General features: G+C 46.3%; 1 protein-coding gene across 9 annotated transcripts; it reads left to right on the plus strand.

Annotated features, from left to right (window-relative positions):
• CYP4F12 (cytochrome P450 family 4 subfamily F member 12) lies at positions 1505–25592 on the plus strand. 9 transcript variants are annotated; one of them, NM_023944.4, is made up of 13 exons: positions 1505–1553; positions 1947–2145; positions 6679–6823; positions 8662–8715; positions 8810–8937; positions 10807–10928; positions 11911–12181; positions 13234–13300; positions 13486–13615; positions 24354–24487; positions 24579–24643; positions 24848–24930; positions 25326–25592. In NM_023944.4, exons 2-13 carry the CDS (start codon positions 1948–1950, stop codon positions 25501–25503), a joined length of 1575 nt encoding a protein of 524 aa, NP_076433.3. In that variant the 5' UTR covers positions 1505–1553; position 1947; the 3' UTR covers positions 25504–25592. The 9 variants fall into 9 exon arrangements, 8 of the variants coding, with proteins under 8 accessions (NP_076433.3, XP_016882661.1, XP_011526510.1 ...); XM_011528208.3 differs by lacking the exon at positions 1505–1553 and having other exon boundaries at positions 2129–2145; positions 6679–6747; NR_117085.2 differs by having other exon boundaries at positions 6679–6747; positions 8662–8937; positions 24579–24930.

A 26817-nucleotide genomic window follows, 5' to 3' on the forward strand; every position in this document is an offset into this window, starting at 1 on the left:
CACACGGGAGAAGCATTTTATGTGGAACATCTGGCACACAGTAGGTGTGCTTTATTTAGAGCACCTGGCACACAGCAAGCATGGTTTATATAAAGGGCCAGGGACTCAAGATACAGGATTTGTGAAGGGCTCCCAGCATACAGTAGACAGTATTTATGTGGAGCTCCTGGCACACAGTAGGTGCACTATATGTAGAATAGCCAGCACACAGTAGACAAGATTTATGTAGATTACTTGATGCAGAGTAGGTGCGCTTTCTGTGGGTCACCAGGTACGTAGTACACATGCTCAATGTGGAGCACCTGACACACAGTAGGTATGCTTTATATACAGCACATGGCACAGAGTAGGCACGCTTTATATGAAGTACTCTGCATAAAGTAAGCTTACATTATGTACAGCATGCTGCACACAGTAGGTGAGCTTTATGTGGCATACCTGGCACATAGTAGACAGAATTTATGTACAGTATCTGATACACAGTAAGTGCACTTTATATAGTGAAACTGGCACACAGTAGGTGCACACAGTAGTGCTTTCCGTACAGTCTTTCGCATGGAGTAGAGACAGGCACACAGCAGCTCAAGTGCTAGTTGTCATCCCCTTCCCTTCAGTCCCTCTTTTTGGAGCTCCCTTTTCTTAGGAGCCTTCCTCCGTCGCCCTCTAAGGCCTCATCTGACATCCCATTTCCCAGATGGGAAGCCTGAGCCCAGGATGGCCACACTGCCCACAGTCAGAGAAAGGACAGGGCAGAACAAGGACTCCACTCGGGATCCCCTTGCTCTGCCCTCCCCTGCCTGGACCCCGTCAGCTCAAGGCCCCTCTCAGCCTCATCCCCTGTGCCTCCGCTCTGTCCTCCTAAGCTGAGCCCAGCTTCTAGGTTTGCTCCTCCAGCTGGGCTCTTTATCCCCAGAATCTGACGAAGGTAATCCTCAGCGGGGTTGGGGCTGGATTCTTTCTTCCTGCTTCAAGCAGTCAGGCCTCAACTCAGGCCCTGGGCTGCCAGGAGGCAGGACTTGAACTCTTGCCAGGCTGTGAAGCCAGAGATGAGAGGCTTCTGTCTCTGAATCTCCTAAGTCTGCACCAAGATGTAGTGCCTGACATCCTCCCCGCCCATGTTTGGAGAGGAGCCCAGATGATCTGGGACAAGGGTTGGCCTGGCCCAGCTCAGCTGGCTGCCAACTGTCATGATAAGTATATGCTTTTATCTGAACACCCTTGTCTTGGAAGGGCAGGGTGGAGGTAAACTTGGGGTTCAGAGTCCCCTCTAACCACCCTCCAACTTCCCCTGCAAACTCCCAAGAAGGTACTGAGACCTGAGAATTCAGTGCTCGTGCTGGGGCACCCTGAGCTGCACCCAGTGGGCCCAACCCCAGGTTTTGGCTGGCTGCCCAGGCACGGAAGACACACCCAGGCTGTGGGGATTGGCTGCCTCAGCCCAGCCCAGCCCAGCCCCGCCTCCTACGGCCTTCCCTAGATCAGGGGCCAGGGCCAAAGACCTCCCAGCAGAAGAGGAGAAGAGGTTGTGTGGGACAAGCTGCTCCCGACAGAAGGTACCAGGCTGGGGGTGGCAGGGCTGGAAGGTCCTGGCCTGGGATGAAGAGGGGACTGCCTAAGGCTGGGGTGGCTCCAAGATGCTGGCATGGGAAACTGGGGGTTTCCTGGTAACTGGACTCCTAGCAAACTCCCAAGGATTCAGGTGGGGCCCTTCTGGACTCTAATCGGCCCATCTCTTTCCCTTTCTGTGTGGTTACCAGGTTACTGGAGGCCACTTAGTTGTTGGTTTTGGTTGGGACTTTCTGGACTTCAGATCTCAGCCCTCGTTTACTCACCCCTGAGCCCTCCCTGCCCTGCCCCCAGCAGTTCCTGACTTCGCCCCTATACACTGTCCCCGGAGCTCTTCCCTGGGCCTCAGGTCCTCACCCTGCATCCCCTCTGCCCTGCAGGATGTCGCTGCTGAGCCTGCCCTGGCTGGGCCTCAGACCGGTGGCAACGTCCCCATGGCTACTCCTGCTGCTGGTTGTGGGCTCCTGGCTACTCGCCCGCATCCTGGCTTGGACCTATGCCTTCTATAACAACTGCCGCCGGCTCCAGTGTTTCCCACAGCCCCCAAAACGGAACTGGTTTTGGGGTCACCTGGGCCTGGTGAGTGTGACAGCAAAATGTGTCTGGGGTCTCAGGGTGGATGGACTTCCAGAGGAGCAGGAATGGGGCTCAGTGAGCTAGGTATTGATGGTGGCTGGGGTCTGCGACCCCAGAGAAGCAAGAGAGATGGCTCACTCATTCCTCTGCTAACTCACTCATTCCTCTACCCACTCACTCCTCTACCCACTCACTCACTCCTCTACCCACTCACTCACTCCTCTACCCACTCACTCATTCCTCTACCCACTCACTCATTCCTCTACCCACTCACTCCTCTACCCACTCACTCACTCCTCTACCCACTCACTCACTCCTCTCCTCACTCACTCATTCCTCTCCTCACTCACTCATTCCTCTACCCACTCACTCACTCCTTTCCTCACTCACTCACTCCTCTCCTCACTCACTCATTCCTCTCCTCACTCACTCATTCCTCTCCTCACTCACTCATTCCTCTACCCACTCACTCACTCCTCTACCCACTCACTCAATCCTCTACCCACTCACTCACTCCTCTACCCACTCACACATTGCCCTCCTCACTCACTCATTCCTCTCCTCACTCACTCATTCCCCTCCTCACTCATTCCTCTCCTCACTCACTCATTCCTCTACCCACTCACTCATTCCTCTCCTCACTCACTCATTCCTCTACCCACTCACTCATTCCTCTCCTCACTCACTCATTCCTCTCCTCACTCGCGCATTCCTCTCATTCGCGCATTCCTCTCATTCACTCATTCCTCTCCTCACTCACTCATTCCTCTCCTCACTCTTATTCGTCTGCTCACTCACTCATTCCTCTGCTCACTCATTCCTCTCCTCATTCACTCCTTCCCCTCATCACTCACTCATTCCTCTGCCCACTCACTCATTCCTCTACCCATTCACTTATTCCTCTATCCACTCACTTTTTGCTCTCCCCACTCACTCATTCCTCTCCTCACTCACTCATTCCTCTCCTCATTCACTGATTCCTCTACCCACCGACTCATTCCTTTCCTCATTCATTCATTCCTCTGCAGTTCCATGCCAAACCTTTCTCACCTCCCTGTCCTCCCACCTCAGCCTGCTTGGATCCTTTTCCTGCCTGTCTTCCCTACCGTAGTGCCCCTCCCAGAGGCTCCTGTATGGTTGTGGGGTGCACAGAGCAGGGCTCTCCTGGCATTCCCACCTTCTCCACTGCTGGACTTGAAGCCTTCTGAGCCCCGATAGACAGGCTGCTCCCTGCATGGCCCATTTGCTTGTATCTGCCCATCTCTGGGCTGCTGCTTTCCCGCAGGAATTATCTCTGACTTCCTTCCCCACGGAGGGACACAGCTGGACCAGAAGAGAAGTGCAGGCAGTCTCCCACACCCTCTCCTTCCAGGGACAATGTGCTCTTCCCCAGTAAGATGTCCCAGTGAGCCCTGTAGCCCAACCTGGATATAATTTGGCCACTCCCTTCCCCTTTCAGAAGCCGTCCTTGGTACTCCCAAACCTTTCCCTCCGACTGGGACCGGCCCTCCCCTTTGGGGGATGTGGCCTCTGTCTGCTCACTTACAAAAGGCAGGATTGATCGGTGTGTCCACAGGTGCACAGGAGGCACTAGCACAGAACCTGGCATAAGTGAGGCTCTCCTAGGTGGGAGCTGCCATCCTGATGGACATTAGAGTCACCTCTGCTCCCCTGGAGGCTGCTGAGAATGGAGGGCCCTCAGGACGCAGGCCCTTTGTCTGTGGGAGGAACCAGTGCCCATGTGGACCAACCAGGACACAAAAGGATATGGCAACCAGCTCTAGGGATATGTCCTGAGGCCACACTGCTGCCCACAAACCTCCTTCCATGGGGACCTTCCCATATAGCAATCCCCAGATTGAAATCAATCCAGGATGAGAAAACACATCCTCTTGAGCAGACAGCTTGTCTTCTCTCTCTGCTTTGGTATTTACCCTTGGATCTTGGGGACAGCTCCAAGAGAGAAGGAGCAGAAGTCAGCAGAAACCCACTGCAGCTGCTGAGAATCCAGACACGCTGCTCACTGCAGAGGCTGCACCACATCCGGTGGCTGTGGGGGGACTTGCTGTGGCTTCATCTAGGGAGGTGCATTAGTCAGGGTTCTCCCTAGAAACGGAATCTCCTTAGAAACAGATAGGGTGTTTCTTCTTATCTCTAATGCATGTATGTATGGAGACAGAAAGAGATAGAGAGATAAGAATTTATTATGGGAATTGGATAATGTGATGATGGAGGCCAAGAAGTCCCATGATATATCATCTGCAAGCCAGAAACCAGGGACACTGGTGGTGTAAATTCAGCCTGAGTCCAGAAAGGCCTGAGTCCCTGGAGTTCTGAGGGCAGGAGAAGACGGATATCCCAGCAGCAGAAGAGAGAGCAAGTTCTTCCTTTCCTCTGCCTTTTGTCCTGTTCATGCCCTCAATGGATTGGATGGGGTCTGGCGTCTCAGGGTGGGTGGACTTCCAGAGGGGTGGGACTTCCAGTAGGGGTTCAGGGAGCTGTGTATTGATGGTGGCTGGGGTCTGGGAACCCAGAGAACCAAGGGAGACGGCTCACTCATTCCTCTCCTCACTTACTCATTCCTGTGCCCATTCACTCATTCCTCTCCTCACTCACTCATTCTAATACCAACTCACTCATTCCTCTCCTCACTCACTCATTCCTCTCCTCACTCACTCATTCCTGTGCCCATTCACTCATTCCTCTCCTCACTCACTCATTCCTCTCCTCATTCAGTCATTCCTGTCCTCACTCACTCATTCCTTTTCTCACTCATTCATTCCTCTCCTCACCCACTCATTCCTCTGCCCACTCACTCATTCATATCCTCACTCACTCATTCCTCTACCCACACTCATTCCTCTCCTCACTAATTCCAATACCAACTCACTCATTCCTCTCCTCACTTACTCATTCCTCTATCCATTCACTCATTCCTCTCCTCACTCACTCATTCCTCTGCTCACTTAGTCATTCCTCTCCTCACTCAACTCATTCCTCACTCACTCATTCCTCTCCTCACTCACTCATTCCCCTCCTCACTCACTCATTTCTCTCCTCACTCATTCATTCCTTTACCCACTCACTCATTCCTCTACCCACTCACTCATTCCTCTCCTCACTCATTCCCTTCCTCCCATTCCTTTACCCACTCACTCATTCCTCTCCTCACTCACTCATTCCTCTCCTCACTTACTCATTCCTCTCCCCACTCACTCATTCCTCTCCTCACTCACTCATTCCTGTGCCCATTCACTCATTCCTCTCCTCACTCACTCATTCCAATACCAACTCACTCATTCCTCTCCTCACTCACTCATTCCTCCCCTCATTCAGTCATTCCTGTCCTCACTCACTCATTCCTCTCCTCACTCACTCATTCCTCTGCTCACTCACTCATTCATATCCTCACTCACTCATTCCTCTACCCACACTCATTCCTCTCCTCACTAATTCCAATACCAACTCACTCATTCCTCTCCTCACTTACTCATTCCTCTACCCATTCACTCATTCCTCTCCTCACTCACTCATTCCTCTGCTCACTTAGTCATTCCTCTCCTCACTCAACTCATTCCTCTGCTCACTTAGTCATTCCTCTCCTCACTCAACTCATTCCTCACTCACTCATTCCTGTCCTCACTCACTCATTCCTCTGCTCACTCTCTCATTCCCCTCCTCACTCACTCATTTCTCTCCTCACTCATTCATTCCTTTACCCACTCACTCATTCCTCTACCCACTCACTCATTCCTCTCCTCACTCATTCCCCTCCTCCCATTCCTTTACCCACTCACTCATTCCTCTCCTCACTCGCTCATTCCTCTCCTCACTCACTCGTTCCTCTCCTCACTCGCTCATTCCTCTCCTCACTCACTCGTTCCTCTCCTCACTCACTCATTCCTCTCCTCACTTACTCATTCCTCTCCTCACTCACTCATTCCTCTCCTCACTCACTCATTCCTCTCCTCCCTCACTTATTCCTCTACCCACACACTCATTCCTCTCCTCACTCACTCATTCCTCTACCCATGCACTCATTCTTCTCCTCACTCATTCCTTCCTCTCCTCACTCACTCATTCTTCTGCTCGCTCACTCACTCATTCCTCTGCTCACTCTTATTCTTCTCCTCACTCATTCCTCTCCTCACTCACTCATTCCTCTCCTCACTCACTCATTCCTCTACCCATGCACTCATTCCTCTCCTTACTCACTCATTCCTCTCCTCACTCACTCATTCCTCTCCTCACTCACTCATTCCTCTCCTCACTCACTCATTCCTCTCCTCACTCACTCCTTCCTCTCCACACTCACTCATTCCTCTCCTCACTCACTCATTCCTTTCCTCACTCACTCATTCCTCTGCACTACTATTTCCATCCTGTTTACCTTCAAATGCTAATCTCTTCTCAAACACCCTCACAGACACACACAGCAATAATGTTTGACTGGCTATCTGGGCATCCCTTAGCCCAGTCTAGTGGACACCTAAAATTAACCATCACAGGAAGTGACAGCCCTTGACTTGCTTTCAGATCACTCCTACAGAGGAGGGCTTGAAGAACTCGACCCAGATGTCGGCCACCTATTCCCAGGGCTTTACGGTATGGCTGGGTCCCATCATCCCCTTCATCGTTTTATGCCACCCTGACACCATCCGGTCTATCACCAATGCCTCAGGTACCCATGCAGAGCTTGTGGTGGTGGGTGCCAGACCAAGCTTCTGTGTGGTCTCTGCAGTACCCACGTCCCTCCTTGAGTACTCGTGCCCCTCATTGAGACTTCCTTCTCAATGTCTTCTCCCTCCATTGCCATCTGCTCCCTGTCTTGGTGTTCTGGGCACCACTGGGGCTCCAAGAGGCCTCAATTCAGGGCCCTTTCTGGAAGGAACCCCCATGCTTAAGGACACGGGTCTAGACAGAGACATTTCCAGCCTCATAGGGTCAGGAATGGGCAAGAGAGAGATGGGTATGACAACACAGAGAACTGGGTGTCTGCTGGGGCAGGCTGGAATGTTTCCTGGAGGAAGAGTTGTTGGAGCTATGTCTAGACCAATAAGTAGGATTTTTTAAGTGTGGGGCAGGATGATGCAGTGGGCATCATTGGTATTTGGGGTCCCAGCCAGTCCTTGCACCAGCCTTGCCCATCCCTCAGTCCAAAGCGGTAGGAGGATTTGTGGCTGGTGGAGAATCTGGGCTGCTATTTATGTGACATCCACCTATGATGGGTCAGTTCCTTCTACCTCATCCTATCACTCATCCACCCTAAGTTTCCTGCTCTCCTCCTATGGGCTTCAGGATTCTCCAATAGGAGAACCCACACCAGCTGCTTGACCTCCCCTTGCTCTCTGCTCTTCTCATCCTTGGACACACCAGGCTGAGCTAGGGAAGTGGCAGCATCCCACAAAATCTATGGCTCTGACCCCCAAATCCTTAGTGACTCTGTGCAGGTCACCAGCTCTCTGGCTGCTGAGGTCTCTTTCAGTTGTGAGTGATGGAAACTCAACTTCGTGTGCTCTAAGCAAATAAAGAGAGTCAAAGGAGTGTAAATTTCAGGGAGGGTGGTCTTCAGGCATGGCTGAATCCAGGTGTCAATGAACATTATCAGGGATCTGTCTCCTTTTCTTAATTTCACCATTTCTCTGCATCACTTTTTCTTTTAAGGCAGCCGTTCTCTTATCTGTCAACCATGGGTCCTAGCAGCTCAGTTCTTGTCCGAAAGCTCACCTTACCCCCAGGGGTCCCATAAATAGCCGCCTATAGTTTCAATATTATACCTGGTTATATCTTTTCTGTTTAACCTGGGATCATATGGAGAAGTCATCATGTGTGTGGCTCAGCTGTGGTCGAGGACACTTGGGGCATGTCAGAGACTTTCTGGTTCTTCTCTGACATGTGATTTGAAATTGTCTTTTCTCCTCCTTGTCATCTCTTGGCCATGTTTGTAGCTTGTCCAAGGTCTGGGAGCTAGGGTCTCTTTGGAATTGTCAGAGTTATTATTTTAGTCTCCCTGAGCCAGGTTTCGGAATCCATTCTAATCACGCTTGAAGAAAACTCTTGGTTCCACCTGGGACATGTCTGGGACATTTAAGAAATCACATTTAAACCCTATCTGGGGCCTGTCTGTGGGGTACACAGAGGTCATGTCAGACTATCTCAGGTCCATGTCAGGAGATGACAGAGAGTGCTATGGCAGACAGGGTGTCCGAGGTCCTTTAAAGGTATTTTGTAGAGTGTGGAGCTGTGTTCAGTTGTTGCAGAACATGTTGGGATATATAGGAGCCATGTCAAGGCGTGCTGGGGTGTGCTATGACCTGTTAGGTTGTGTCATAGCTTTACTGTGCTGTTGCAGCCTGGGCTGGTCCTTCTTCCTCTATCCTCCCTTCGTCCTTTGCCCTTGGCCCCCTTCCTGCTATGCTGGGCATGGAGTGGGGAAAGTGCTGGTAGGCAGCCTTGCCCTATACCTGAAGTTCCTCTCTTGCCCTCTACATGGCCCCTGATGGTCCTCGTTCATGTCAGCTGCCATTGCACCCAAGGATAATCTCTTCATCAGGTTCCTGAAGCCCTGGCTGGGTGAGTACCTGCAGGTGAAAGGGGTTGGGGACAACCTTGCGGGGAGGGTAGGGGAAGTGCTGCTCTTGCCCACTGTCCTTGGCTGCCCTACTAGGAGAAGGGATACTGCTGAGTGGCGGTGACAAGTGGAGCCGCCACCGTCGGATGCTGACGCCCGCCTTCCATTTCAACATCCTGAAGTCCTATATAACGATCTTCAACAAGAGTGCAAACATCATGCTTGTGAGTCCCTTGAAGTCTGGGTCCCAGATGGAGTCTTGGGGTGGAGGGACCATGGACACATCTGGTCTGGAATTTTGGCTCTTCTGGGTGGCACTGGGCCATTGCTCTTCCTCTCTGAGCCTTGGTTTCCTCATCTGTAAAATGGGGATGATAATCCCTACTTGAAAGGTCATTTACTTGGCACACAGTAGGTTCTCAGAAGGTGTCAGTTTCTGTGTTTTTCTCACAGAATCCCTGTAAACTCAAGAGAGTAAAAATGAAGATTGTGTAGTAGTCATTGCTGATTATAAACCACTTCAGAACTCATTGGCTTAGAGCCATAAGGGTTTACAATTGCTAACGAGTCTGTGAGACAGCTGGCCAGTTCTTCTGGATGTGGAAGGGATCACTCTTGGCACATGAGCAGCTGTGGGTCGGGGGGCAGCTTTGCTGATCCTGGCTCAGTTCATTCACGTTTGGGGCTTCAGTACCTTCAGACTCATCTGGGATGGGCTCAGCTGTGACACCTGGACTTTCCCCCATGTGATTCTCTGCCTCCAGAAGGCACCCTGTTGTTCACATGGCAGAGACTGGGCTCCGAGAAACTGAGAGGAGGCTGCAATGTCTGTGGACATTGTCTCTGCAATACTTCAAAGTTCAACCAGGTTTGAGTCTATTAGAGTTATTACATCATCATTTCACCACATTGTACTGGCCAAAGAAAGTCGAAAGTCAAAAGTCCAGTACAGACTCAAAGGGGTGTAAAATAGAACGCATCTCTTAATGGGAGTTGCTGAAAAATTACTGTGGAAAGGGTACGAATACAGGGAGAAGTGAAGAATTGGGGGTCAGGATTTTGTGAAGTGTCTAGGATTTGTTTTAAATATGCAAACTGATAAGTTAGCTTGTTACTGTCTCATGCATTCTAACAGATTCCTGGGTCAGAGACAAAGGGTAGTTGATTACTCATGGCACAATAAGCAACATGTACTTCTTGTTGGTTTGTATCCTTTTTCTGAGTCAACCTAAATTCCATGGGGGTGACACTGGTGGGCCTCTACATTAGCCTGCTCATGCAGTACATTGCATGACATACAATGGGCATTAGGCTTAGGGAATCTACTTTAATAGTGGCAGAAACAAGCCTGATATTGGTCCAGGAGGAGTCATTGCCTTATCTCTCCAGGTGGTTATCTGCAAATACAACTCTGAGAAATGGCTCAGGTAAGAACATCACAGTCTTGCATTGGTGGCATACGCAGCAAGGATGCTCAGGGCTGATGAAGAAGTGCCTCTTCCAACACAGGGATATTTTTGAAATGAATTTATTACAATGGAGATGAATAAAGCAAACATTTACTCATCATATGCCTGAGAAAATGTCATGTCCCAATGCCAGGATATAAGTTGTCTAAGTTAATTTTAATAATCCTGTGAGGTTATGGTTATTTTTGTCCTATTGCAGATGATGAACTGAGGGCCAGAGAGATTAGGGAGCTGGACAGAGTTCAACCAGCCAGGAAGTGAGCTAGGACTGGTGGAGCAGAGATTCTATCCTGGTTTATCTGGCCCCAAAGCAGATCACCTTGACCGTTATTGAATATTTGACAGGTGGGACCTAGAGGAGGGCAATATGTTGACCAAGGGCACATAGAGCATAGGAGACAGAGCTGAGACTTGAATGCAGGTCTCTTGACTCCAAGCCATGGGTCTTCATCTCCTATACTAACAGTTTCTGCTCGCATCCCAGTCTGGTCCTCGCTGGCAATGGGTTCCTGGGGCAGAGGACCAGGAGGCTGGTTGTGGGGGAGTCCATCCTGATGTTTGGGACTGGGGAGGGGCACAAAGGAGGCAGGGCCCAGCTCTAGCTCTCTTCCCTTCTCTGGCCAGGACAAGTGGCAGCACCTGGCCTCAGAGGGCAGCAGTCGTCTGGACATGTTTGAGCACATCAGCCTCATGACCTTGGACAGTCTACAGAAATGCATCTTCAGCTTTGACAGCCATTGTCAGGAGTGAGTTCCTTCCTAGGGCCTGGGATATGAATCCATGGACCAAAGGGAGAAAGTTGGGGAGGGAGGAATGAGCAAAGTAACCAGAAGTACCTTTCGGGAGGATTTGTATCATAGCTGTGCTTTGAAGGTCGAGGAAGAGGAGAAAGTGCTGTCTTTCCAGGTAGAAATATGTGTGTAAAAGCAAGAAGGTTAGGATGAGCCAAGCATGTGCAAGAGACAGTAGAAATGAGGTTGTGGAAGTAGGGGCTAGATATTAAGGGCACTGAAAATCAGGAAAAGTGGTATGAAGTTTATCAAGACATTTCCAGAGACCTTTTGTAGTTTCAGCTGATGATGGATGTGATAAGAGCTGAGCTGTGTGGGAAACTGATAGCCCACCACCACGCCCAGCTAATTTCTGTATTTTCAGTAGAGAGGGGGTTCACCATGTTGTCCAGGCTGGTCTCAAATTCCTGACCTCAGGTGATGTGCCCTCTTTGGCCTCAGAAAATGTTGGGATTACAGGCATGAGCCACTGTGCCCAGCTGCTTCTTCTTTCTTACAGGGTGAAAGAGAGAGGGAGAGAGAGAGAGACAGAGAGACAGAGAGAGAGAGAGAGAAAGAGAGAGAGAGTTGGTTATGCTGGGGGCTGGAGCAGGGCTGAACTGGAAGAGGATGAAGTCTGAGTTGTGTGGACAGTTTTGGTAAGGAAAATGATCAGTACTGCATACTGGATGGGAGACAGAGGAGAGAAGCATGGTGTCCAAGCTATACTCTAGGTGCCTAGGTGCATGGAGACAGCTCTCTCAGAGATAGGATGCAGGGAGAGAAGACAGTCTAGAGAGTCAGTCTCATGACTGATACCCACCATGTATCTCTAGGACCATCTATTTCTAGATACTCAGTTTCCTGATGGGAGGTAGCTCCTGGCTGCTGGTGGGAGGTGTTCCTGGGGCTTTGCATACGTTACATTGTTGCCTCCCTTTCTGCCCTTGCTCTGCAGGAGGCCCAGTGAATATATTGCCACCATCTTGGAGCTCAGTGCCCTTGTAGAGAAAAGAAGCCAGCATATCCTCCAGCACATGGACTTTCTGTATTACCTCTCCCATGACGGGCGGCGCTTCCACAGGGCCTGCCGCCTGGTGCATGACTTCACAGACGCTGTCATCCGGGAGCGGCGTCGCACCCTCCCCACTCAGGGTATTGATGATTTTTTCAAAGACAAAGCCAAGTCCAAGACTTTGGATTTCATTGATGTGCTTCTGCTGAGCAAGGTAGGTTTCTCTATGATCTGAATTTAGGTGAGAGAATAGAGCTTCATGTCAAATGTCAGGTGAAATAAATTGGTTTTGATCCAAAGGGCACTGGGAGCCATGGAAGATGCTTGAGAAAGGGAAGGTCACAGATAGGTTTTAGAGATGACTTTATTGCATGCAGCCCACAGGGCACTGCTAATTCTGAAACTGTGAGGAGCATGATATTTTATTCAACTTATAAGTTAGTGTGTTAGTCTTTCACATTTTTATGTGTATCTATATGTCTATGTCTTTGTCTATGTCTGTATCTATGATAAAAGATGCACCAAACCCCTGGATCACAGCAGCCCATTAATTATTTACAGCAGTAACAGCAGGTGGAGTAGGATGGTAGTGCTGGCTCCCCATTCCTAGGGCAACACAATGTTTTTACCTGTAAATGCACAAGAATTTGCACCAAGGAGAGGGGCCCCCACATTATGAGTATTATAGCTTATATAGGACAGCTAGCTCATATGCTCCTTCTTTATTACAGGGTGAAAGTTAGAGACAGAGAAAGAGAGAGAGAGAGAATGCTTTGTTCTGGCGTATAAACTACCCCTCTCCTGTGAGATGGCAATTTCTAGAGTTTTATAACCCAAATATCTTCTGGAAAGATAAGATTCTCTGGGTTTACCACTCTAGAATGTCAGCAAATATTTTTGGAGCAATACATAATTTCTAACCTCCAAGGCAAATTGCCATTCAAATATCCTGTACCCCAGGTTGCCAGTATCTTTTTCTCTGAAAGTCTGTATTATGCAGAAAAATGAAAATATTCGAGAACCATTGATTCCTGTCACCAGGGTCCAAAGAGGAGGCAAAGGATCTGGGGGAAGCCCTTGGAGTTGGGGCTTTGGTGATGGTGAACAAGAGAGATCTAGACGTGCAGAGTGCATTTGAGTTTCTGGAAGATCAGAGCTTCAGAGATTATCTCAGGTTAGACTCCGGAGTCTCAGAGATAGTATAATTTGTGTGTGTGTGTGTGTGTGTGTGTGTGTGTGTGTGTGTGTGTCTTGCTTTCTCTTCAGGATGAAGATGGGAAGGCATTGTCAGATGAGGATATAAGAGCAGAGGCTGACACCTTCATGTTTGGAGGTGAGGGTCCCAGTGTGGGACTACAGTGGAGACAGAGGTCCCTCCATCTCAGGATCCGGGTGGGTGGACCCTGGATCACTCCATTCTGCCCATCTTCCCCCTCCCTCCATCCTCCTGAGGGCCTCAATATCTGGGCGCTGTCCACCCTCCGGTGCTGAAGCCAAGCTTACCTGGCTGCTCCTCAGGCCATGACACCACGGCCAGTGGCCTCTCCTGGGTCCTGTACAACCTTGCGAGGCACCCAGAATACCAGGAGCGCTGCCGACAGGAGGTGCAAGAGCTTCTGAAGGACCGCGATCCTAAAGAGATTGAATGGTGAGTGCAAGTTCTTCTGGCCTGTTCCTGAGCCCATCATTGGTTCTGCTCCCCAAGTGAGGAGGGGTGGAGGAGTTGTTTTGTGGATTCTTCCACTATTGCTTAGTGGGTATAAAAGCAGAGGACCACAGGCAGGGCTTGATACCAAGCCTGGCTGTCAGGGGAAAAGTTGCAGGCCTTTAGGACCGAAAGACCCGGGCTGCTAAGAGAATTGGTGACAATGTGTGAGGACAGATAATGCTACTTTGCACATGTTCAGCAAATGAACTTCCCCTCCACTCTGTTTCTGTTCTCCCAGAAATATCAGTTTTTTCGAAAATCCTCACTTCTTGAATGTTTGCTCAGGTGGGGAGGGAGAAGTTGTTTTTGTCAATTCTTCCATTATTGCTTAGTAGTACTAGGAGCAGAGCACAGAGGCAGAACTTGGTATCCAACCTGGCTAGCAGGGGAAAGTTTTCAGACTTTTGGGACAGAGAGTCCTAGCCCGCTGAGAGAACTAAGGACAATATATGAAGGCAGACGATGACATCTAGACATGTTCAGTCAATGAATTTTCCCTTCACTCCTTTCTTGTTTACTCTGAATTATCATATTTTTTTCAAACATCTTTACTTCCTGAATGTTTACTCTTCTGTTCCCTAATTCCTACCCTCCGGTCCAGTCCAGGGAGTCCTAAGGGAGACCTGGGGGTAAAAGTCATCTATCTTTTGTCTAGAACACCTGCATCGTTCATCCATTCAGTCTTCATTCAGCAAACTCTTCCACATGCCTTTCCATTGCCAGTTCTGTTCCCACACCTTTCTGTGCTCTGGAGACCTGGAAAGAACCCTGCCTATGGATGTGTTTTCCAGGTACTCCCAGCCTAGTAGGAACAGTCCCCCACAAGACATTCCCAGTCCACATAGGCAAGGATGGAGTTGAGAGCAAGAGAAGCATGGCTGGGAGTACAGAAAGTGTGATAGAAAGTGTTTCAAGCCAGATCTGGTGGCTGTCGCTTGTGATACCAAGTACCGAGGAGGCTGAAGTGGGATAATCACTTGAGGTCAGGTTTAAGATCAACCTGGGCAATATAGAAAGAACCCATTTCTAAAAAAGTAAAAAACCAAAATAATAAAGTGCCTCAACTGAAACCCTGAATGGTGATCAGTAGGTGTTTGGATGCAGTAGTGCCCTAGGTCAAAAAGAAAGTCTGGGCAAAAATGCAAAAAGAGGGAGCAGGAGAGAGGGAGAAGAGGGAAAGAGAGGTTTGTGTGTCAGGGAAGGAGATGGTTATAAAGGGAGGGAGAAGTAAGAGGGAGGAAAAGTGAGGGAGAGCAAGATAAAGAGAGGAGGGAAGACAGAAGGAGACAGAGAGAGAATGAGAGAGAAAGGAACTGAGTTGTGATGAGATAATAACTATGGTAGTGAAAGCAGAGTCTGGCTGTGGAAAATATGGGAAAATGGTAATGGCTTCCATTTTAACCCAAAGGCAATGGGAAGCCATAACAAGTGGTTGAGCAGGGGAGGGGCAGGTCATATCTGGGCACCAGAAAGATCTTTTCAGAGCTACTGTGGAGAGAGGACCAGCTGTAGAATGAAGTCCCAGTGAAGACATTCTGGGACCTGAGCCAGGGCAGGGGCTGGGGATGGAGAGGAGGCAATGGACTGGACATGTGTTTTGGAGGCCGTGTCCTCCCGTCCAAGCCTTTGCTCAGCACAGCAGTCCTAAAAGGTGGCAACACTTTTTATGCTTTTAAAAACCAAGATATCAAGTAATACTGTGCACTTTGTAAACAAAAAAAAGTGTCTAAAACATTTATAAAAATGAGCTTTCCTCATGCCTGTAATCCCAGCACTTTGGAAGGCCGAGGCGGGCGGATCACGAGGTCAGGAGATCGAGACCATCCTGGCTAACACGGTGAAACCCCGTCTCTACTAAAAGTATAAAAAATTAGCCGGGCGTGATGGCAGGTGCCTGTAGTCCCAGCTACTCTGGAGGCTGAGGCAGGAGAATGGCGTGAACCCGGGTGGCGGAGCTTGCAGTGAGCTGAGATGGCACCATTGCACTCCAGCCTGGGCAACAGAGTGAGACTCTTTCTCAAAAAAAAAAAAAAAAGAGCTTCCTTCTTAACTGTCACCCTAGTAGTTTCTACCATCAATGGTTTTGTGTGTCCCTCCAGAAGATGGCTATCTTGATGCCCACTTTATAAGAACACAGACTTCTTCTATACAAATAAGAGTGTATAAAATAGACACAGTACTTTTTCCCAAGATGGTGGGTTGGAGGCAATGTCAGTGTGCCTCTCCCATGTGGAAGGACAGAATAGTGTGTAGAGATTCACAGTGTAAGCTTTCTTTTCCCAAGAAACAACACAGGGACTTAACAGGAAAACCAGAAGAATCCACAAACCCTTCAAAAGAAGCTACAGGCTGCATTCTACTCTGTGAGACAGGTGAAAAACTGTGAATCCTCAGAGTAAGAGGGGGAGAGACTGCTTCCTAGGTACACATCTTCACTGGGGAATCTGAAAATCCAGACCACAGGAGAAGGCCTTAACTCTATCCAGGGCTTGAACTGATTTAGGGAGTGGTAAGAAATATAAAAGTAGAAGCAGCAGCAGGAAGTCCCTTGCAGGCATTCACAATCTCCAGCATGGACTGAGGGAAGCCATTCCTTATTGTATCTCACAGGGGACCTTGGGGAAGTCAGACAACTAGCTCAGGTGAGGTCACAGGTTGAACGAAATGCCCAAATGAATTTCTTGATATAACCTCGAGTGGGGATGAACTCCCTTGACCAGAACCCGGGAGGCAAGCAGGAAGTGTGCTGCAGACAGGAGTTCAGAAGCTGGGTGCCTGGCCTTGGACAGGGACAAAAAAGGACATGGCCTGAAAGCATTGCTATTTCTGTGGGAAAAGCTTATGGCCTGGGGCAGGGCTGAGTTCTGTGCACAGACTGCCTGGATCTAAATCCAGTGCTATGAGTGGAACACTGCATGTGTGAGACCCACCTTGTGCCAACTGCATGGGAGCTAGATGAGGCTTACTGCCACCTGCTACTCTCCACTCCCTTGTCAAACTCTTCTGTGAGGCAGAGGCAGTTATACTCACCTCTGGATCATTACCCCAGTGACCTAAGAACCACCCTCTGACTCTCACAGGGCAAAACAAACAAACAAAAAAACAGTTGCAAAAAAAAAAAAATACCTAGGAATATACTTAACCAAGGAGGTTAAAGCTCTCTACAAGGAGAACTACAAAACAGTGCTGGACAAAACCATAGATGACACAAACCAATGAAAACACATCCCATGTTCATGGATTGGAAGAATCAATATTGTGAAAATGATCATAGTGCAAAGCAATCTACAGATTTAACGCAATGCCTATGAAAATACCTTCATCATTTTTCACACAACTGGGAAAAGCAATTCTAAAATTCATATGGAACCAAAACAGAGCCTGTGTAGTCAAAGCAATACCAAGCAAAAAGAAAAAATTTGGAGGCATCACATTACCGGACTTCAAATTACATTACAAGGCTACAATTACCAAAACAGCATGGTACTGGTATAAAAGTAGGCATTTAGATGAATGGAACAGAAAGGAGGACCCAGAAATAAAGCCAAATACTTACAGCCAACTGATCTTTGACAAAGCATACAAAAACATAAATTGGGGAAAGACACCCTATTCAATAAATGGTGCTGGGAAAACTGGACAGTCACATGTAGAAAAATGAAACTGCATCCCCATCTCTCACCTTGTACAAAAATCAAAGGCTTAAATCTAAGACAGAAACCATAACAATTTTATAAGATAACCTTGGAAAAACTCTTTTGGACATTGGCCTAGGCAAAGAATTCGTGACCAAGACCACAAAAGCAAATGCAACAAAACCAAAAATAAATCAGTGGAACTTAATTAAACTAAAAAGCTTCTGCACAACAAAATAATAATAATAATAATAGCCGACTTAACAGACAACCTACAGAGTGGGGGAAAATATTTGCAAACTATGCATCTGACAAAGGGCTAGTATCCAGAATCTACAAGGAACTCAAACAACTCAGCAAGGAAAAAAAACAAACAAACAATTAGTTCCATCAAAAAGTGGGCAAAGGGCATGAACAGATAATTCTCAAAAGAAGATACACAAACAGCCACGAAACATATGAAAAAATGCTCAACATCACTAATCATCAGGGATATGCAAATTAAAACCACAATGAGATACCATCTTGTTTCTACAAGAATGGCCATAATTAAAAAGTCAAAAAACAATAGATGTATGTTGTGGATGTATTGAAAAGTGAATGCTCATACACTGCTATGAAAATTAACATAACCTCTGTGGAAAACGATAAGGATATTCCTTAGCGAACTAAAAGTAAATCTACCATTCCATCCAGCAATCTCACTACTAGGTATCCACCCAAAGGAAAAGTGATTATATGAAAAAGACACATGCACATGCATGCTTATAGTAGCACAATTCACAATTGTAAAGGTACGGAACCAACCTAACTGCCCATTGACCAATGAGTGGATAAAGAAAATGTGGCATATATACACAATGGAATACTACTCAGTCATAAAAAGGAATGAAATAATGTCTTTTGCCGCAACTTGGATGGAGCTGGAGGCCATTATTCTAAGTGAAGTAACTCAAGAATAGAAAACCAAATACCATATATTTTCACCTATAAGTGGGAGCTAAGCTGTGAGGACACAAATACATACAGAGTGATATAATGAGCTTTGGAGACTCGGAGAGCAAGGTTGGGAGCCGGGTAAGGGAGAAAAGACTGCATATTGGGGACAGTATACACTGCATGGGTGATGGGTGCACTAAAACCTCAGAATTCACCACTATAGAAATCATCCATGTAACCAAACCACTTATATCCCAAATGCTATTGAAATAAAAGGAAGTAAAGAAGAGACAGATCTGCACATTAACAATATATCTTTGGGAGCTTTTCTTTTTCTAAAAATATGAGTTTTGGAAAATTAGTTCGTTTTTATTTTTAATTGGCAAATTTTAATTATATATGTTTATGGGGTGCAATGTGATATTATGATATATGTATACAACGTGGAATGATTAAGTCAATTTAATAAACATACCCGTCATCTCATATACTCATCATTTTTGTGGTGAGAATATTTGAAATTTGCTCTCTTAGCAATTTTGAGAAATTTATTATTATTAACTGTAGTCACCATGCATGCAATAGATCTCAAAACTTATTCCTTCTAACGGAAACTTGTACCCTTTGACCAATGTCTTTCCATTCTTTCTTCCTCCCTTCTCTGGTAACCACCATTCTCTTCTTGGTTTCTATGATTTCTGTGTTAATTATTTCAGATCTCACAGTTAATTAAGGTTATGTGCTGTTTGTCTCTTTGTGCCTGGCTCATTTCACTTAGCATAATGTCCTTTAGGTTCTTGCAGATTGCCACAAATGAAAGAATTTTCTTCTGTTTTAAGGCTGACTAGCATTCCATTTTGTATATATACACCACACGGAAAATGAGTTTTGAATTACAAAAGCAATGATGAGAACAGTTTCTTCTTGCACTCAATGAGGCATCACAGATAGACAAGGGTTATTCTTGACATTCCTGCTATCCCACCTAATATCCTCCCTTTCTCCAAGGGGGCCTGTAGAGATACTTATTTGTCATCTATCTGTCTGTCTGTTTACATCTATCTACATATCTTTCTATCATCGATCTCTTCTTATATTCCTTATATTTTTTGTCCTATGGTATTTACATATATGGACATTTGGGAACATGTTTTTTTCCACTCAATACTGTGTCTGACAGATATTTTTTCTGAGTGCTGAATAGCATTCCATGTTTTATTTGGCCCATCCCTTTGTTGAAGACACTTGCGTAAACATTTCCAATCATTGGAGGTATGGCCAATTTGCATTCCAGAGTCTCTGTACTGATTTAGCTTCTGGTCTGCATTGTGTGACAGGACTAGTGATCCTTTTTTTCTCCTTTTGTGTAGCTGTATACTATTCCATTGTGTGGATGTTTATCTAAACATCTCCCCATCCATGTATATTTGGCTTGTTTCATCCTTTTGCTAAATTAAACTTGTGCAATCGGCATGTGTGTACAGTGAGCATTGCTCATATGTATAAACATCACTGCAGGACAAATTCCCAAAAGTGCAATTGTTGAACCAAAGACCATTTGCATTCTACAGTTGTAATAATGATTGCAAATCCATCTCTATATTAGGTGAGTTTGATGGCACTAGCTTTCCCACAAATTTGCCAATAGTATTATTGTATTATTAAATTTAAATTTTTTGTCCATCTTCATATTTCATCTTTTAATGAGCATTTTCTTAAATAAGAGTGAGAAAGAACATCCTTTGCCCAAGTTGATAAGCCATTTATTTTCTTTCTATGGGAGTGGTCATCTGATATTTTCTGCTGTTTTTCTTTGGGTTCTTTTTTCTTATTTACTTATAAGAATGTGTATCACAATTAATGTTTTTTTTTTCTGTTTTTTTGTTGCAAAAGATTGCCTTTTGACTTTTTTGGGGGGTGCTTTTGGTTAATTTTTATGAAGTTACATTTGTTCGTATTTTCTTTTGTACCACACTACCCAGCTATTTCCCAGAGTTTTGTGGGGCTTCCTTTGGCAGATGGGAAGTTTCCACTTATTCACATGCCCGTCTCTGACCTTTTTAGTCTTTTGAATGCATCCGTTTTTATGGCATTGCCAGACTATTTTTTCTTACTGTGACTTTTCTTTTCTTTTTTCTTTTTTTGAGATGGAGTCTAGCTTTGTCGCCCAGGCTGGAGTGCAGTGGTGCGATCTCAGCTTACTGAAACCTCCTGCCTCTCTGGTTCAAGCTATTCTCCTGCCTCAGCCTCCCGAGTAACTGGGACTACAGGCACCCTCCACCACGCCTGGCTAATTCTTGTTTTAGGTAGAGATGAGGTTTCACCACATTGGTCAGGCTGGTCTCAAACTCTTGACCTCAAGTGATCCACCCACCTCGGCCTCCCAATACTCTGACTTTCTAATGGGTTTTAATATCTGGCAGAGTGGCTTTTTTTGTTGTTAAATCAACCCCTGCAAACATTTATTGTGTGATAAAGTGTATGTTTTATTTGGATTGAGGGAAATTTATAATGAAATACAGAGATTTCATGTTTCTTTTTAAGTTTAATCCAGGTATTTTATATTATTATGACTAGTATCTTTTCTTTTATTATCTTTTCATTTGATGGTTATTTCTATATGGTAAAACTAATGATTTATGCATATAAATTCTATGCCCAGTGAACATAGTATATGCTAAAGATGGTATCTGTATCAAGAGAAAAAATATAGATAATTAAGTAAAAGCTCTTGGGGCAACTGGAAAGCCTTCTGGAAAAAAGGCAACTGAACCTTGTTCTCATATCTTATGACAAGATAATGTTCAGATTAATCATTTTTTTCTAAAAGAGTCCTAAAAGCTCTAGAAGGAACCATGAGAAAATTATTTCATAGCGCCAGAGTAGGGATAACCTTATTTTGACGTAAGTCCCAGGGGCTATGAAAAAGTGATAAACTGTTAAATGAGAGAAAAGATACACGCCAGCCACGGTGGTTCATGACTGTAATCCCAGTACTTTGTGAGGCCAAGGTGGGCAGATCACTTGAGATCAGGAGTTCAAGACCAGCCTTGCCAAATTGGGGAAACTCCATCTCTACTAAAAATAAAAAAAAAAATTAGCTGGCTGTTGTGGTGAATGCCTGTAGTCCCAGCTACTTGGGAGGCTGAGGCAGTAGAATCACTTGAACCAGGGAGGTGGAGGTTGCAGTGAGACAAGATTGTGTCACTGCACTCCAGCCTGAGCAACAGAGACTCCATTCCCTCCCCCCATCAAAAAAGATACAGAATAGTGTCTACAGTAGATGGTGTGCTCCTATATAATTTTTTAAGATGCTTAAAATCAGCCCAGAAAGCATACATTAAAAAAAATAATAACCTGGCAACGTGTGGGGAGAAGTAAATGGCATTGGGCCATAGGAGTGAATTATGTTTTATAGTTTTCAAATTCTGAACCAGATAATTGTAGACGGTATGAAAATTTTAAATAGCCACTGCAAAAGAAGAAAGATTAAGCAGAGAATTCAGCTCCTTTGCTTGATCTTAAATGTTTATAAACGTTTTCCAGTGGGGCCTCTAGTGTTTTCTAAGTATAAAATCACTATCTGCCAAAATGATACATTTACTACCACATTTCAAATTGCCTGACTCTCGTGTTTTTTTGGCTGCATAAATGTCTTCTTTTGAGAAGTGTCTGTTCATGTCCTTCGCCCACTTTTTGATGGAGTTGTTTTTTTCTTGTAAATTTGTTTGACTTCATTGTAGATTCTGGATATTAGCCCTCTGTCAGATGAGTAGGTTGCGAAAATTTTCTCCCATTTTGTACGTTGCCTGTTCACTCTGATGGTAGTTTCTTTTGCTGTGCAGAAGCTCTTTAGTTTAATTAGATCCCATTTGTCAATTTTGGCTTTTGTTGCCATTGCTTTTGGTGTTTTAGACATGAAGTCCTTGCCCATGTCTATGTCTTGAATGGTAATGCCTCGGTTTTCTTCTAGGGTTTTTATGGTTTTAGGTCTAACGTTTAAGTCTTTATTCCATCTTGAATTAATTTTTGTATAAGGTGTAAGGAAGGGATCTAGTTTCAGCTTTCTACATATGGCTAGCCAGTTTTCCCAGCACCATTTATTAAACAGGGAATCCTTTCCCCATTGCTTGTTTTTCTCAGGTTTGTCAAAGATCAGATAGTTGTAGACATGTGGCATTAACTCTGAGGGCTCTGTTCTGTTCCATTGATCTAGATCTCTGTTTTGGTACCAGTACCATGCTGTTTTGGTTACTGTAGCCTTGTAGTATAGTTTGAAGTCAAGTAGCATGATGCCTCCAGCTTTGTTCTTTTGGCTTAGGATTGACTTGGCGATGCGGGCTCCTTTTTGGTGCCATATGAACTTTAAAGTAGTTTTTTCCAATTCTGTGAAGAAAGTCATTGGTAGCTTGATGGGGATGGCATTGAATCTATAAATTATCTTGGGCAGTATGGCCATTTTCATGATATTGATTCTTCCTACCCATGAGCATGGAATGTTCTTCCCTTTCTTTGCACCCTCTTTTATTTCATTGAGCAGTGGTTTGTAGTTCTCCTTGAAGAGGTCCTTCACGTCCCTTGTAAGTTGGATTCCTAGGTATTTTCTTCTCTTTGAAGCAGTTGTGAATGGGAGTTCACTCATGATTTGGCTCTCTGTTTGTCTGTTATTGGTGTATAAGAATGCTTGTGATTTTTGTCCATTGATTTTGTATCCTGAGACTTTGCTGAAGTTGCTTATCAGCTTAAGGAGATTTTGGGCTGAGACAATGGGGTTTTCTAGATATACAATCATGTCATCTGCAAACAGGGACAATTTGACGTCTTCTTTTCCTAATTGAATAACCTTTATTTCCTTCTCCTGCCTAATTGCCCTGGCCAGAACTTCCAACACTTTATGCAGCCAAAAAACACATGAAAAAATGCTCACCATCACTGGCCATCAAAGAAATGCAAATCAAAACCACAATGAGATACCATCTCACACCAGTTAGAATGGCAATCATTAAAAAGTCAGGAAACAACAGGTGCTGGACAGGATGTGGAGAAATAGGAACACTTTTACACTGTTGGTGGGACTGTAAACTAGTTCAACCATGGTGGAAGTCAGTGTGGCGATTCCTCAGGGATCTAGAACTAGAAATACCATTTGACCCAGCCATCCCATTACTGGGTATATACCCAAAGGACTATAAATCATGCGGCTATAAAGACACATGCACATGTATGTTTATTGCGGCACTATTCACAACAGCAAAGACTTGGAACCAACCCAAATGTCCAACAATGATAGACTGGATTAAGAAAATGTGGCACATATACACCATGGAATACTATGCAGCCATAAAAAATGATGAGTTCATGTCCCTTGTAGGGACATGGATGAAATTGGAAATCATCATTCTCAGTAAACTATCGCAAAGACAAAAAAACCAAACACCGCATGTTCTCACTCATAGGTGGGAATTGAACAATGAGAACACATGGACACAGGAAGGGGAACATCACACTCTGGGGACTGTTGTGGGGTGGGGGGAGGGGGAAGGGATAGCATTAGGAGATATAACTAATGCTAAATGATGAGTTAATGGGTGCAGCACACCAGCATGGCACATGTATACATATGTAACTAACCTGCACATTGTGCACATGTACCCTAAAAGTATAATAATAATAAAAAAAAAAAAACAAATTGCATGACTCTCCTTTTTTCCCTTGCCTAATTGCACTTGCTGGTATCTCTAGCATCACGCTAAATAAGAGCAAAACATTGGATCTGGGTATTTTGTTTGTTATTCATTTGCATTTGAGTTTGCTTTCTTGCCATAGACAATATTTATTTTTATGTGAGTTTGTTAATTTTTTACCGCTGGCTTCTGGGTGTTTTCCTCAGAGTATTTATTTTTATCTATTTGGCTAAATTTTCTCTGGTACTTTTCTAATTCTCTGCTTCTCTAATTGTTTTCTGCTTTTTAAAATTCTCAAATGTTTGATCCCCGTGGAGTTTATTTTGTGATAGGGAGAAAAGGTCTCATTTGCAAATAGAAAAGGTGGAGAGTTGTGTATTTGTTCCCTTGATAATGACTGGGGCTGGGGTGTTTCCTTAGGGACGACCTGGCCCAGCTGCCCTTCCTGACCATGTGCGTGAAGGAGAGCCTGAGGTTACATCCCCCAGCTCCCTTCATCTCCCGATGCTGCACCCAGGACATTGTTCTCCCAGATGGCCGAGTCATCCCCAAAGGTGCCCACAGCCTCAGGGGGAGAAGCCTCCCGGGTAGGAAGATGGTTCCCTCAGGGGATCCTTGTCCTGACTGCCCCTTTCTCTCCCACAGGCATTACCTGCCTCATCGATATTATAGGGGTCCATCACAACCCAACTGTGTGGCCGGATCCTGAGGTGCTGCCTTCCCCATTCACCACCACCACCCCCATCCTCTACTTTTGTGTGTGTGTGTGTGAATTCCAAGGTTCCTAGTGGAGGGGGCAGGGTTTTGATGAGGAAAATCCAACATCACCTCACCCCAAAACACACACAAGTGTCTCTCCAAGGCTGCTGGACATAGGAAATCCCACTGGCAAACCTTCTTTGTCTCACCTGCAGGTCTACGACCCCTTCCGCTTTGACCCAGAGAACAGCAAGGGGAGGTCACCTCTGGCTTTTATTCCTTTCTCCGCAGGGCCCAGGTAAGAGCGCCCTGTGTCTGAGGCAGGGATGGGATGATGGGTGCGGGAGTTAAAAAAAGGGGGACGTTGCAGATGGTCCCAGTTCCAGCTCTCCTTCCCTCCATTCCTTCACAGTTTATGGGAAAACGTCCATAGAATGGGGATGAGTAGGTCCTAGAGGGGTCCGCGGAGTGCTCAAAATCCCCTTCTCCATCTGCTGGTCTGAGCTGGGAGCTGGAGTCAGGCCCAGTCTCCGGGACATACAAGCCCACATGGGAGTCCCAGGCACGCTTAGTCTTTCTCTCTCTCTCTCAGGCTGAGCTGGGTGCAGTTGGGGGTCCCAGGCCAGGTTCCTGGGTTGATGGGACCCAAATGCGGGTCTTGGGCACAGTCACAGTCCCCACTCCCGCCTGCAGGAACTGCATCGGGCAGGCGTTCGCCATGGCGGAGATGAAAGTGGTCCTGGCGTTGATGCTGCTGCACTTCCGGTTCCTGCCAGACCACACTGAGCCCCGCAGGAAGCTGGAATTGATCATGCGCGCCGAGGGCGGGCTTTGGCTGCGGGTGGAGCCCCTGAATGTAAGCTTGCAGTGACTTTCTGACCCATCCACCTGTTTTTTTGCAGATTGTCATGAATAAAACGGTGCTGTCACCTCTGCCTGGGCCTCACTGACAGCCTGCAGGGGGCTCTTGGGGACTGGGAGGCTTCAGGGAAGGGGCCTAACCTGGGTGGGTTAGGCGGGATGTTTTCCCTGAAACCAAGAACCTGACTGCCTCTTTGGCTGAGCATAGGGCCTCCATGCTTATAGCAGGGTCTCTCAGAGCCCAAGTATGGACTTTATCCTGTGGACAATGTGGAGCCATGGGAGGTTTTTGAGCAGGAGAGGGACCAGGATTAAGAACGGATTTAAGAGGTACGACTGAGGCTAAGTGAGAAGCAACCATAGGGGCAGATCCTTTCTTTTGGTCTGGGAGTGTCCCAAGACCGAGGTCCCTGGCCAGTTCAGAACACAAGGATAGAAGGGTGCAGCTTATACCCTGGCAGGCTCTCAGGAGTTCTGTTTCCTTTCTTGCTAATGTCCCACCCTATGTCTCCCCCTTCCAGTTGATCGCTTTTGTGACCCCTTTCCCTAACTTCAGGCAGCTCCTATTTTTCCTCTTTTGAGCCCTCTGACTCTGCCCAGGCTGCTTGTCCATCAGCTGCTATCTGAATCCTCCCCCTACTCTCTTCTGCTATGTGCCAGGCACTCTCACAAGTGTCAGGGGTTGGGCACGTCTTCACCCTTTCACCTCTAGATTCCTCCTTCATTCCCATCACTGACCCATCTTGGGGTGGGGTGCAGTCAGGAACATCCTGTTTGACCCTTGAGATTCAAAGACAGATGACTGGAAACAGAACACCATCCCAAAGGTATGGGATCTGGAGCCAGACTGTTGGGCTGAAGTCTCATCTTTGCTGTGTGACTTGAGTAAGTTAATTCCCCTCTATGCACTTCAGTTTCCTCAAACATATAATGTGGGCAACAACACTACCTAACTCAGGGTTGTCCTGAGGACAAAATGTGGAGAACTCAGAACTTGTTGCCTGGTGCATATTGGATGCTTAATAAATGTGGCCATTATTACCTCCTCTCTGAGAAAGTCTGGCTAATAAACCATGTTGCCTTTCAAGATAGTTTTTTTCTACCACGACTTTAAAGACTGTCTTGGAACTTACAGGCAAAAATTGTAATATTTGTGCTCCTTGAATAATCTCTTGCCTTTTAGAGGGCTGTGCATTTAGGAGGCAATTTTTTCTAAGACTGGTTGCGGGCACCTGAAAGTGCAAGGTGGTAGGAGAAGGAAAGAAGCCTCAGTTAATGTTTTAAAATGATGTCCTGCCACAAACATTGACCTCTGTTCATAGCC

The sequence above is a fragment of the Homo sapiens genome, chromosome 19, assembly GCF_000001405.40.
Source record: "Homo sapiens chromosome 19, GRCh38.p14 Primary Assembly".
Classification (NCBI taxonomy): Eukaryota; Metazoa; Chordata; class Mammalia; order Primates; family Hominidae; genus Homo; species Homo sapiens.

Excerpts from the sequence above, each read along its gene's own strand:
- CYP4F12 (NM_023944.4), top strand. The coding sequence starts at position 1,948 with ATGTCGCTGCTGAGCCTGCCCTGGCTGGGCCTCAGACCGGTGGCAACG. Across the intron at positions 12,182-13,233 it reads ATGTGCTTCTGCTGAGCAAG|GATGAAGATGGGAAGGCATT; the intron begins GTAGGTTTCTCT and ends CTTTCTCTTCAG. Across the intron at positions 13,616-24,353 it reads GATCCTAAAGAGATTGAATG|GGACGACCTGGCCCAGCTGC; the intron begins GTGAGTGCAAGT and ends GTGTTTCCTTAG.